Below are 13,127 nucleotides of genomic sequence, written 5' to 3'. Positions count from 1 at the left end.
CTGAAAGACAGTCAGACAAGTTTGCTATATCAGTTCAGGTAAAGAATACCGACCACTTGACTTATGGCAGGAGGAATAGTTTCAAAAAAGCTAGGAGGCACAACTTTGAGGATTGGGTACTGGTTCTGTATGTTGAAAAGAAGGGAAGCATCAAAGGTGATCTGGACTCTACCATGGGTCTCCAGGAAAAATTCCAAAGAAACAGGATTAATGGTGAATCATATTTTTTTTTTTGCTGGTCCAGTCAGGTGTTTCTGACATATTTGTGTGCAACAATGTTGAGGGAACCAAATGAGATCATAGGTTTGCAAGTGCTCTGCAAATTGTAAAGTAACTGTGTAATGGTAAATGATATTTATCCACTCACAGATAATTGGATAGCTATTGTGGGCCAGGCACAATTCTAGGTGCTGGGGTAGAGCATCAAGCAATGTCTTATTGTTCATGGAGCCAGCATTCTAGTGTAATAAGAACTTCTCTGATTTTAAGTTAGTCAAGAGTTACACATTCTCCTTCACTCACTAATAGCTAACATGGATTAAACTCTTCCATTATACCAGGAGTTTCATAGAAAGAATACCATTTAATTCTGGGAGAACACTTGAGATGAGCATATCATTCCCATGTTGAAGATGAGAAAGCTAAGACTTCAAATATTTGAGTAGCATTATAAGGTTCACATAGATTCAAAGTGATAAAGCTAATATTTGAAACTGGGTGGAGAACGTGTCATGACAGAGTCTTTGGGGTGATGCCAGGACAGGAAAATGTCATGTGATTTGGAAAGGCATCACAAATAATACAAATGCATATTTGGAAATTAAAATAATACTTTTTTTATTTTTATAATATAAACTACAAATCTAAAGCTAAACCAATCTGGGGTGAGGGGACTGTTGGGGGTATGGGTTTAAAAGCCTAGGAAATTCTTTCCTAGCTAAAATATTGACAGGACTTTCATAAGGCCCCTTCTCAGTTAAGAAACTCAGTCACTTACATTTTCAACCTAAGACTATTAAAAACAACATCTCTACAACCCCATGAAGTTAAATACCCTTGTTAAAGTGATCTCATGTATATTACAGTTAAATAATAGCCGTGGGAGAGGGCAATTAGCAGATGCGGTCAGGAGAGAAAAAGATATGTTTTTCAGATGAGAATGGAAACGAGATGGAGAGTCAATGAGGCAGAAATACACAAGACACTTTTTTTACCCTGAAGTTTCTTGAATTCTGTTACTAATGATACCTTAAGATTCTTAGAGCTCTGACCGGAAAAGACACATTGTCATGAGGGAAGTTCAAGGAGACTTTCAAAAAGTCCAACCACAACTGATTTCTACCTAGTTCTTTCTAGAAAGCCATGTTCCTCCTCCATCCTTGTTGCATTTATTGATCACTTGAACTGAGAAAGAATCAGTCATTATGGATTTGTACCTAATACCAGAGGAAGAAAGAAGGCAGAAGTCTGGTTTCTTGAAAAGGAGAAGGTCATCAGCTTGAAACAGCAGACAAGGTACTCAACTCAAATTTTATTCCCTGATTCCTGCAAGTCGGCTTCAAATTCCACCACTATTTGCCATCATTCTGGATTTTGATGGATTTTGGTCTTCTAGTCTGGCTGCAGAAATGCAAATATCTATTTGTGGTCTTTCACAGGATGATTTGTACTTTTAGTTAAAAAGATGAAGGGAGATAGTAGAAATCTCTGTGGGTGAGTGAGGGGGACAAAAGGATTTTATGTTCATGTGAACCTAGGTTTAATTTCTGACCCATAAATTTACTAACACTTGTTCATCTTGTCCATCATTGTTTTTAGTGAACCAAGAATACCTCATGACAACTCAATAAACATTTGTTAGAAAATAAATGGGTGACCTTGAATAGCTCTTTTTCTCTCTCTTGTTCTCACCTACTCTCTCTCTCTCATCTCATAGCAAAAGCCCATCAGTGATATAATGAAATGATATGGACAATTCTAAGCCAGTTCCTGGTCCACAATAAATATCAAAAAATTACATTTCTTTTCCTCTAGAATTAAGAAAGTTTAATTCCCAACTATACTATGCAGTAGCCATTTCTTTGATCAGATCAATAATTCTCTGAGACTTGGTTTCATCACTGATACAAAGGAAGGGATAAAGATCTGTTCCCATTCACCTCTCAGTTGCTCTGAAGATTACAAGAGTTTATGGAATTAGATACATTTGGTAAACAGCACAGCACTCTTTAAATGTTTATTATCATTATCCTTATCATAATTGTGTAGATGTGGGTCAAATTCTCACTGGAGACCCATCTTTCTTTGGTTGTGGGAGCATCTACTGTGTCCATGGCAATCTTACAGTCATTATTTTTAAAATCCCACTATGTTTTCATTAACTAAGTCTACCTTTAAGAAGTCGGATGCTTTCCAGTGCATCTAATTGCATAAAGCAAAAGATCCTAAAGGAATTTATGTGGCCTCAAGGAGCATTATTAATGGAGGTCCCTTCTAGAGATGTAATTTTGGAAGCAATTTTCCATGAAATTGCTGAATGTGTGTATCCATATAAATTTGAGCCCATTTGGTACAATTATAATTTAGCCCAATGATTGCACTAATGACATTCTCAATAGATATTCTGGTTTAAAAGGAAGGGATACATTTATTACATGTGTATGTAAAACATACGTCAAACTGGATTGTCAGATAAATGTTTCCATAAGGGCTTCCATATGTCTTTTTCCATTCATCTTCACTGAGACACAACCACAGTGGGTTGTACAATTGAGTAAGGGAAATACCTGAGTCTGAATTGTCTTTAGTTAGGGCTGAAATATATCTCAACAAAAGGAATTACATTTCATCACATTTTGTGACCTAACAGACTAACAAAGCAGGTGATTTATAGGATGGATTTTGGAGCCAGCCAGGGCCAGTTTTGAATTCTGGATCTGCCCCACACAGCAGATGGCATTGAGCTTTAGTTTTCCACCCTTAAAAAGGAAGATAGCAGTATCAATCCTTAAAGGTCTCCCAGGGTTGTCAGAATAACAACAGCAAAATGCACAAATATATAGGTAAAGTTCTTAACACAATGCCTGTCATATAATGCCCTCTTTAAGTGATTAATGTATATGACATCTTCCTAAGATATTGATTTCAGATAGAACCAAAATAAAGTGTGTATGTGTGTGTGTGTGTGCAATGTGTACTTCTCTGTGTGTGTAACCATAAAACCTGAGGTTCAGAATGGTTGGGTAATGAGTTCAAATGGGTCCAAAGATATACAATTCATTAAGCAGTTGTACTGGAAGCAGAAAGAACTTTGAGGGACCTCAGAGATCAGTCCAGTCTCTTATATTTCAAGGACACTGAGTTAAGAAGGAATAATTGACTTGCCATAGCTAGTGGAAGCAACAAGACTAGCCCATTAGACTTCATAAGTTCAATTCAATATTATCTCATTAAAACACACTTTTCCCAGAGCGTCACACAGTCTTTTTTCCACCTGCCTGCCTTCAGCTTATCTTTGCTTCATGTACCCAGGTTATTGGGCTTCTCTTTTACAAATGAAATATATATGCAACCCTAAACCATATGTCTCTTCTATTTTTTTCCCAAGACAGCAGGAAGGCATGGGTGTTGGAGAGTGTTTTTCATGTATTCACTTACAGAAATTCAAAATACAGCCTTAGCAAACTGTGTGTGTGTGTGTGCACATACACACGCATGCACATGTGCGATGTTCCCTCTCAATTATTCTTCTGTAGGACATCAGGAGCAACTTACGGGTTACCATGCTCCTCAATTGTCCTCAAAGATATCAGTATCAGAGTTGATCATGGTAGTGACAATGATTCTATACGTATTGGGTATTCACAGTTACTTTGCCCTCTTGATTCTACAATCAGGTTCTCTTGTCATCAATCAGCAATCATCATGGCAACATTGCTGTTAATTTCCACACATGGTTCTCTCTTATGCCCCTTACCCTCTCCCCAGGCCAGTCTACAACCTTCCATCTTCAGAGGCTTCCAATGTAAACCATTCTACCAATTATGTCTTCTCCATCATCCTTCAAAAGCAGATGGGACTGACATTTTCCACAGGAAACGTAGCATTTTGCCTCTGCACCCTCTCCACTTACTTCCTTTAACTCTGCAGGTGTGCTTGTGCCCCTTTCTCCTTTCTGGTGTTGCCGTCTCTCCCAGATAGCAGTGACTCCCCATTGATGGACAGTTACTTTGGGTATCCTTTATTTATTTTTCCCCTTAGAACATATGGCACTAATGATCACGTTAACCCCACTGCTTTCTAACTTTGAGTCTCATATGGAAAAAAATGGTGCTCATGAAGGAAAAAAAATTAAGAATAAAAATTTACCAAGAAGCCTGACAAGAAAAAAAAAGTCTTATTTTGGTACATTGCAGTTAAAATGATCCTCAAACTTAAATATATACTCCAGTGTCATAGTTATTCCCTATTATCCAGCATTATCGGAATTCTGGTTTCACCACTCTCCACCCCAGGGTTTAAACTTCTCCCAGCCTTTTTGACACTCACTTTAAAATCAAAGGGCCTTATACCATACTAAAAACACAGCATTGGTAGCAGAGGCTGAATCTTCTCAGTTTGGGCTTAATTTACTTATTTAATTTCATTTATGGTTTATATTTATACAATTTATATTAAAAATATATTTTTTCTCCAGTTGGATTCTGTTGACAAGGATTTCCAGTGCCTTAGTTTTCCTGCATTGTTTGGGCTTGATCACCTGATTTTTGTGTCTGTAAGTTCTCCTTTACCCCAACTTGTAAAATAGAATCAGCTAATGGGTTTTCAAAATTTTAAAACAATAAAAATATTTTTAATAACAATTTTTAGTCTACAATATTGAAATTTTACTGAGCTTCTTATTTCATTTCCAATTTAATTATTTGATAAGATAATATAATCAGTATAATGCATAGTTATTTGGAATTTGCTGAAACATTTGGACTTTATATAATTAGAGGAGACAAAATCATAAATGATTCATTTTCTTTGTATATTGCTAGGATTATTACCATGAAATATTTTCTTTTCTCCATTATAATAAAACTTTTTGCCCTAAATTTCAGTTTATTTGATATAAATATTGCTATTCAAGCTTTCTTTTGGTTTATATGTTCAAATATATGTTTTTCTTCCTTATTTTGAAATAAATAGTTCTTGTAAGTAACATATTACTGACTGTCTTTGTTATTAATTTTTTTGTTTACCTACCTTCTTTTTTTAATTATCACTTTCCTGTTTCTCTTAAATTGATAAAGTTTTGGTTTCCATTTTTTCCTATTCTAGTCTGAAAGTTACTTATTTGGTTTCTATTATTTAAGGAGTTTCCCACAATTGTTATCAAACATTCTATTAATTTATTTTTTTCTAGCAACAACTAAGGTTAACCAGTTATCTATTAAAGACAGAGAAATCAGTTATGCTTTCTTCTCTGACTCCCATCACCTGATTGGAAGCATTGGAATTTGAATTCCAGATTGTTATAGAGAAAAAAGTACATATGTATGTCTAATCTAGACACCAATGTGGTATTTTCTTTACTCGCAATTACTTATTGCCTATCATTACTTCCTTTTGTATTCATTATTCTTATACATGTGGAGTATCTTTAACCGAAAGAGCCAAAATACAAAATGTTTCAGAACAGAAACTTTTTCAGTGCTTACATGACACTCAAAGAAATGCCATCAGAACATTTTGATATTTTTTATTTTCAAATTGGGGATGCTCAACTGGTAAGTATGTGCAAATATTCCAAAATCTAAAAAAATACACAATCTGAAACACTTATTTTTCCAAGTATTTTGGATAAGGAATACTTAACCTCTGGTATATTCTTTAATCTTGCATTAGAAATATTTTTGCTACTGATTTTTTAAGTTCTTGTCTGCCCATAAGTATCATTATTTATCTCATATTCAAGTTATAATTTAGTTGCATATAGCATTCTTATTTTACATTTATTTTGTGACATAGTCACACGTTCCAGGGATTAAGTTGTGGACTTGGGACATTATTCCCCCAATACCTGTGAGTCCTTGTTTGCCCCATGTTTCTTGGGTTCTTGTTTGTGCTTTCAATCTTCCTATACCTTTCAGATGCTGTGGTAGCTTTGGATTTCCAAGAATAGGATGCTGTGGCAAAGTTGAAAAGTTTGAATGGTGAATAACACCTTTGAAATTAAAAGGGAGCGGCAGGATTGGGTGGGTGAGGGAGCTGTCAGCATACTATTTTTACCTGGCAGTCCCTGATAGCCTGTCAGGGATCTGTCAAGGTCACCCATGAGAGAATCCCCAGCTTCCCACTGTCTTGCTCAGTCACTGGCTAGAGGCTGCCCTGAGAGTAGCATGATCTTGACTCAAAAGCTGGGGTGGATGCTTACGATGCTACTAGCTGAAGACTGGCAGCTAAGCACAGTCCAGCAGCTGGACAGTGAGTTTTTTCCTTGAAGGGGATCTGGGGGTGCATCTCATGTTACAGAAATTCATTCTGAGAGATTTTTACTCTTCCAGATCACCAGTTTCTCCTTGACTCTGTCCATTCTGCTATTCAGTCTATCTCTTCTCTGGTTCCTGTTATTCTTTTCATTATATAACCATGTCAATTTCATTACTAAGACCTCCTGCTTCTTCTTTTACACAACCTCTTAATTTTGTTTCGTAGAAGCTCTACTTACCTATTTTGTTGATAATGTTAATTATGCTTATTCTAAATTTCTTGTCTGCATTTTCTGTCCGCATTTTCCCTCTTCGTTCTCTCCCTTTCATTGTGCTAGTTCTCACATATCTTGTAATTCTTGTCCATAGCTTATGTTTATAGTTGACCTTAACTTCAAGACCGTGAGCTAACTTTTTAAAGGGTAGAAGCTTCTACTGAAGTCTTTCCCTCACTGTTTTCAGTAGGATTAAGGAATGGGTGGAATGTAGCAGGAAGAGAAGGATTTTTCCCACTGATCTCTCAAGATTTCTGGTCACTCGGGTTCTGCCTTGTCTCCTACCTGGAAATGGTCCCTCTATTTATAACTCCTTGTTACTAAAAGCTTGAAGTGGGGATGGCTCACAGACCCTGGCCACCTCTCAGCCCCATCAATACCCTTCTGCCCCTTGTGTGCTTGTCATTCCCATCCAGTGGTAGGAAATGCCCATGGTGTTGCCTCTAGGCCCTTCACTGCTGTTATCCATAGTTTCAAGTCTCTGGAGCTTCTCCTTCCTTTAATCAAATGCCACCTCCTCTTGGCCTCTCTTAGATTCTTCCTATTCTCTATTCTGAACGTGTTGCTGTGCTTACTCAATTAAAACCGTATTTTTGACATTTCAGGTCTTAGATGCAGATCACAGAGGCAATAGCATGAACTCCAAATGCCATGTTGACTAGAAGACCCAGCTTAATACAATTTTTTTTTATTTTTCCCCCAGGAAGAACATGGAGCTGCTCTCCCTGAAGTGAAAGATGGGACCCGGAGCCCTTAACCCCAGAGGTTCCTTTGCATCTGTCCTCTGACTGCATGGAACACGGTGTTTTAAGTCATTGGATTGGATGACTTCCAGGGTCACTTTTACTCATACATTTTATGATTCCAGGGTCCAAGAATGACGGTATTATATGTAAGAACTCTGAAGACTCAAAGAGAAGAACAACTAGAATTCTTCTTTCTTTCCTATTGTTCATAAACATGGTATTAAAATGACCACTAAAGAGCAGAAACATCTCACAGGCTGTTTCCTAGTTCTGATATTATACAAAGACAGAACACCCCACCCTCACTTCCCTTTTAATATCTCAAGTCTCTTCCTTCCTTCATCTGTTAGAGAACATTTCTCCATTTTTCCATGTTCAATATTTATCCCATTTTATTTAATTATCAGTTATCTACACTGCGATTATTGCCAGCAAGTTGAGGGGAACGTGTAGAGAAGCAAGTTGTGAATATCAGTAGTATGCTTGGTCCAGGTGGGGGAAACTGCTTTAGAAATGACTGGCCACTTGTGAGAAACTTGGCAGTGTTTCTTTCTCATTTTGTCAAAAGGTATAAAGTCAAGTGTTGTTTCACTTTAATTTTTGGTAACTTTAACACAGTTTTGTTTTGAAAGTTGAGTTCAAGGAAAGGCCTCAAAAATACCAATTAAGTGCCTCTGTTAAAAGCCACTGGCAGGAAAAAGAAGTCTCTATGGTGTTTTAGGGAAAAAAAAGTGAAAAAGAGAATCACAAAATTTCTAGGAGAAAAAACTCTGGGCACCATTAACCTTCCCCACACAAAATGGAATTATACGAAGACAGGTTTCTTCCAGACGTTCACCAAAACTCAGAGCATATGCATACAGAAAGAAGCTTAGCCAAAGCAGTACTCTATAAGGGGGCTGATTACCTGATTCTGTCCACTCTGGGACCCTACATATTGGTTATAATAATTAAGTAGGATTTGCTCCAGTGAGACATCAGCCTACGAAAGCATTTCCCAATGTGTGCTTTATAGAACAGTTATCTTACAAGATATGCTATAAAAAAGACCCCATGATCAAACAAATATGGGAAATACACCATATTCTCTACTCCTGTGGGAGATTTCCTATGCATATTATCATGTCAGGTAGTTTAATTATATTAACCCAGGATTTCTCAAAAGAATTTCCCATAGTACCCTCTTTGTTCTGGTTCCTTGACACCTGTTGCTAAGGGCAGGTGGTATATCATGGCCGGTAAGAGCAAAGCCATAGAAAATGAAGAACCTGATTTCAAATCCTGGTTCTTCTACTTAACAAGTGAAATCTCTTTTGGCTTCACTTCCCTTGTCTATAAAAGAGAGACAATAATCATGATCTTGTGGAATTTTTGTATTTACAGGCAGTAACACATCTAAAGAACACAGCTCTGTACCAGCCATGTGCAAAGGGATCAGAAATAGTAGCTAAAAGAATATGTAGTGATTCTCGAGGTTAAATTGATAATAATAATAAAAACCCAAAAACAACAAAAACACCTGGAAGCCTAGAGAGTTGTAAATATTAATATATGGATAATTTTGTTCTTCCTTCCATTGGTCCTAGAAAAATGTTAGAATGAGAATAGAGACCTGGAAAAAGCTTTGCTGTAGAGAGACAGATTTTTAAGTACTTCTTAAAGTTAGTTTTTATTATTGCCCCTTCAGTGGAGCCCTTTCTGCACCTGTGTCCTTTCCACCAAGGTCCATCTGACAGGATATTTCCTGTTTCCTTTCTGCCATTTTTTTTTTTTTTTTTTGAGATGGAGTCTCAATCTGTCACCCAGGCTGGAGTGCAGTGATATGATCTTGGCTCATTGCAACTTCTGCCTCCCAGGTTCAAGTGATTCTCCTGCCTCAGCTTCCCAAGTAGCTGGGCCTACAGGTGTCCATCACCACACCCAGCTAATTTTTGTATTTTTAGTAGAGTCGGGGTTTTGCCATGTTGGCCAGACAGGGTTTAAACTCTTGACCTCCAGTGATTCACCTGCCTTGACCTCCCAAAGTGCTGGGATTAGAGGTGTGAGCCACCATGACCGGCCCTCTGCCGTTTACTTTTACACCTACCACAACACAGGAGTTGCTTTCTATAACCTCTGTGTCCTTCTTGTCCCACTGTCTCTTTCTCAGTGATGAACTCTTAATGTCCTCACACATAACCACTGCTCTGTGTAGCTGAAGAGGCCCCAGAGGAGCCTGAGGAGAGACTCACATTTTGGCCATACGTTGAACCTAGGGTGAAATTTGAAGTGAGAGTTTTCAGCAGCCATGTTTTCACAGAACAGCTGACCCTAGCAGGGGGTAGTAGGTTTGAATTTTGCTGTTAGTTTCTTTATTGCTAGATTAGGGGGAAAAAAAATAAAACAAAACGAAGAAACGAAACATTCAAATGCATTTGGCAGGTGGTCTTATAACTCCAGCATGGGTGCTCAGAATTTCAATGTTAAACTTGGTTAATTATGATTCAGAATTCAAGGAAAGGAATATGGTGGAGTACAGAGATAGAGTCCATGAGCTTTGGTGCTAAAAACTGGGATCAGGCCGGGCGCGGTGGCTCACGCTTGTAATCCCAGCACTTTGGGAGGCCGAGGCGGGCAGATCACAAGGTCAGGAGATCGAGACCATCCTGGCTAACACGGTGAAACCCCGTCTCTACTAAAAATACAAAAAAATTAGCCAGGCGAGGTGGCGGGTGCCTGTAGTCCCAGCTAATCGGGAGGCTGAGGCAGGAGAATGGGGTAAACCTGGGGGACGGAGCCTGCAGTGAGCAGAGATCCCGCCACTGCACTCCAGCCTGGGTGACAGAGCAAGACTCCGTCTCAAAAAAAAAAAAAAAAAAAAAAAAAACTGGGAACTTTGGGAGGCCGAGGTGGGCGGATCACGAGGTCAGGAGTTTGAGACGAGCCTGGACAACATGGTGAAATCCCGTCTCTACTAAAAATACAAAAATTAGCTGGGCCTGGTTGTGGGCATCTGTAATCCTAGCTACTCAGGAAGCTGAGGCAGGAGAATTGCTTGAACTCAGGAGGTGGAGGTTGCAGTGAGCCAGGATCAAGCCACTGCACTCCAGCCTGAGCGACAGATCAAGATGCTATCTCAAAAAACAAAACAAAACAAAACAAGACAAAACCTGAGATCTGCTTATGTGTGGATAAAATGCTTCTACAGGCCTCATTTTTCTTATCTGTAACTTTCAAAAATAAAATGATATCCAAATCTTAAGATTTCTGTTAAGTTTAAATGAAATAATGCAGAGTATTTGGAGTATTTGCTATTCTGTCGGTTTAGGAAGCTGTTAGCTTTCAGGAAAACGTGTAGGTTGATAGATTTAGCAGTTTTTGTGTGAGTTAGATTTCTACCCTAAAATGGGAATTTTGCTCTCAATTGCATTTCTCCATCCATATATTAATGCATTCTCTGTCCCTAAAAGAAGTTACATACCAGGCCATAAACAAGATGTTATGTTCCAAAGTCTGAAATGTTAGACTAGAAGATCAGATCTTTTGTGATATTTGACAGATTTTACCATCCCAGAGTCAATTAACAGGTGATCATTTGTTTCTGCAGAAAAGTTACAGAAGATTTCTAACATCAAAGAATTTGAAGGTCGTTCTGCTAAATGAATGATTTAGAGCAGCCGTATAGGGATGTACTCAGGAAGTAGTGCTTGTTCTAATCTAGTTCTCCTTGGCCCAGCCTAGTTGCAAGTACAGGGGAGAAAAAGAAACAGCAGAATAGGGCTTGGTCCATAGTTTTCAAATAAGGGACCCAATGCCCTACTCAACCCATTCCCTCCTTGGTTGTATCTAAAGTGCTATTTCCATGCTGTAAGTATTTTTTATCAGATGACTATTTTAATTTTCATTTTTATCTACCTGATATATTTCAATGTATTTTAGTCATTTCTTATGGTTTTAATGCATCTTTGTGTCTTTGTTTTTTTCTAAAAATATACTGATTTTGTAGTTTATATCATATGGTTCCATTAATTGAAATGGTAGCAGATTTTTATCAGCTGTTTCTTACATCTGTTCCCTCTTACTCATGGTGGATCATTTTCTTTTATGTTTTGTGCTTTGGGGTAGTAAGCTCATCTTCCTGTGCAGCCTGAGGTGAGGGTATATCTCTCCAGAGAGTAACTGTGTTGGAATTCTCCAGGTGCCCAAAGGGGACCACAGACCTGGGATCATTTGTATGTTAATAGAAAAGCTTGTGGCTTCACAAACCATAAAGGAAATTTAAATTCAAACCTGACTCCCAAAAGTGAAACAGGATTATGATTTTAATTTCACAGATTCTTGGAGGATTTTTTTTCCAACCAGAGACTAGAGAGAGTTGGACATGTTTTCTTGAATTCATTTTATGGTGAGAGGTGGTTTTATATACTCCTTTCCTTCCATGAGAAAGTGCCTCTTTAATGGATTTTACAATTCTCAGGTAGACCTCTGGTGAGCCCAAGGTCATGTCTTCTGTTTCTGAATATGTGTTAAACACCCTAGTCCCTAGTTTAAGGGCCACCCTTACCCCAGCAGCAGTATTAGCTCATGCATTTCTACTCTCATTTATAGTTCTATTTTGACTCATAGCACTAGCAGATTTCTCTTTTGTTATGACTAGCGGGGCTATGCCTGTAAAAGTTTGCACCATTTTGTTGACAATGTCTAAGTGTTTATTGCAGGAGGGTGTTATGGTCTAAATGTTTGCATTCTCCTAAAATTTATATGTTGAAATCCTGTATTAGTCAGGGTTCTCTAGAGGGACAGAACTAATAGAATAAATATGTATATAAAGGGGAATTTATTCAGTGTTAACTCACACGATGGATCACCAGGTCCCACAATATGTTGTCGGCAGGCTGAGGAGCAAGGAGAGCCAGTCTGAGTTCCAAAACTGAAGAACCTGGAGTCCGATGTTCGAGGGCAGGAAGCTTACAGCATGGGAGAAAGATGTAGGCTGGGAGGCTAGGCCAGTCTCTCTTTTCACTTTTTTCTGCCTGCTTATATTCAAGCCGATCTGGCAGCTGATTAGATTGTACCCACCCAGATTAAGGGTGGGTCTGCCTTTCCCAGCCCACTGACTGAAATGTTAATCTCCTTTAGCAACACCCTCATAGACACACCCACTATCAATACTTTGTATCCTTCAATCCAATCAAGTAACACTCAGTATTAACCATCACAAAATCCTAATCCCCAAAGTGATGATATTTGGAGGAGGGGCCTTTGGGAGATGATTGCATTTTGAAGGTGGAGCCCTCATGAATGAAATTAGTGCCCTTATAAAAAAGACCAGAGAGAGTTCCCTCATTCCTTCTACCATGTGAAGACACAGCAAGAAGACACCATCGATGAACCAAAGCATAGGCCCTCACCAGACATCAAATAGGTTGGCACCTTGATCTTGGACTTCTAGTCTCTAGAACTATCAGAAATAAATATCTATTGTTTACAAGACACCAGTCTATGGTATTTTGTTATGGCAGCTTGAACAGACTAAGACAAAGGGTCTTGAGTTTCTGTTGTCAACCATGTTGCCCTAACTCGGAGTCAAGTAGTGTTGTTTCAACCTAAGGTCCTTCAGTGGATTCTGGGGACTTAGCAGTGCTAAAGAG

General features: G+C 38.4%; 1 long non-coding RNA gene across 3 annotated transcripts in view; it reads right to left on the bottom strand.

The window, feature by feature from the left end:
- Nucleotides 1–13,127, bottom strand: part of LOC105376244 (uncharacterized) — a 111,773-nt gene that overhangs the window by 23,165 nt on the left and 75,481 nt on the right. The window lies entirely within an intron of this gene.

This window comes from Homo sapiens, chromosome 9 (assembly GCF_000001405.40).
Source record: "Homo sapiens chromosome 9, GRCh38.p14 Primary Assembly".
NCBI classification, from domain to species: Eukaryota; Metazoa; Chordata; class Mammalia; order Primates; family Hominidae; genus Homo; species Homo sapiens.
This window is presented reverse-complemented; position numbering and strand designations above follow the sequence as displayed.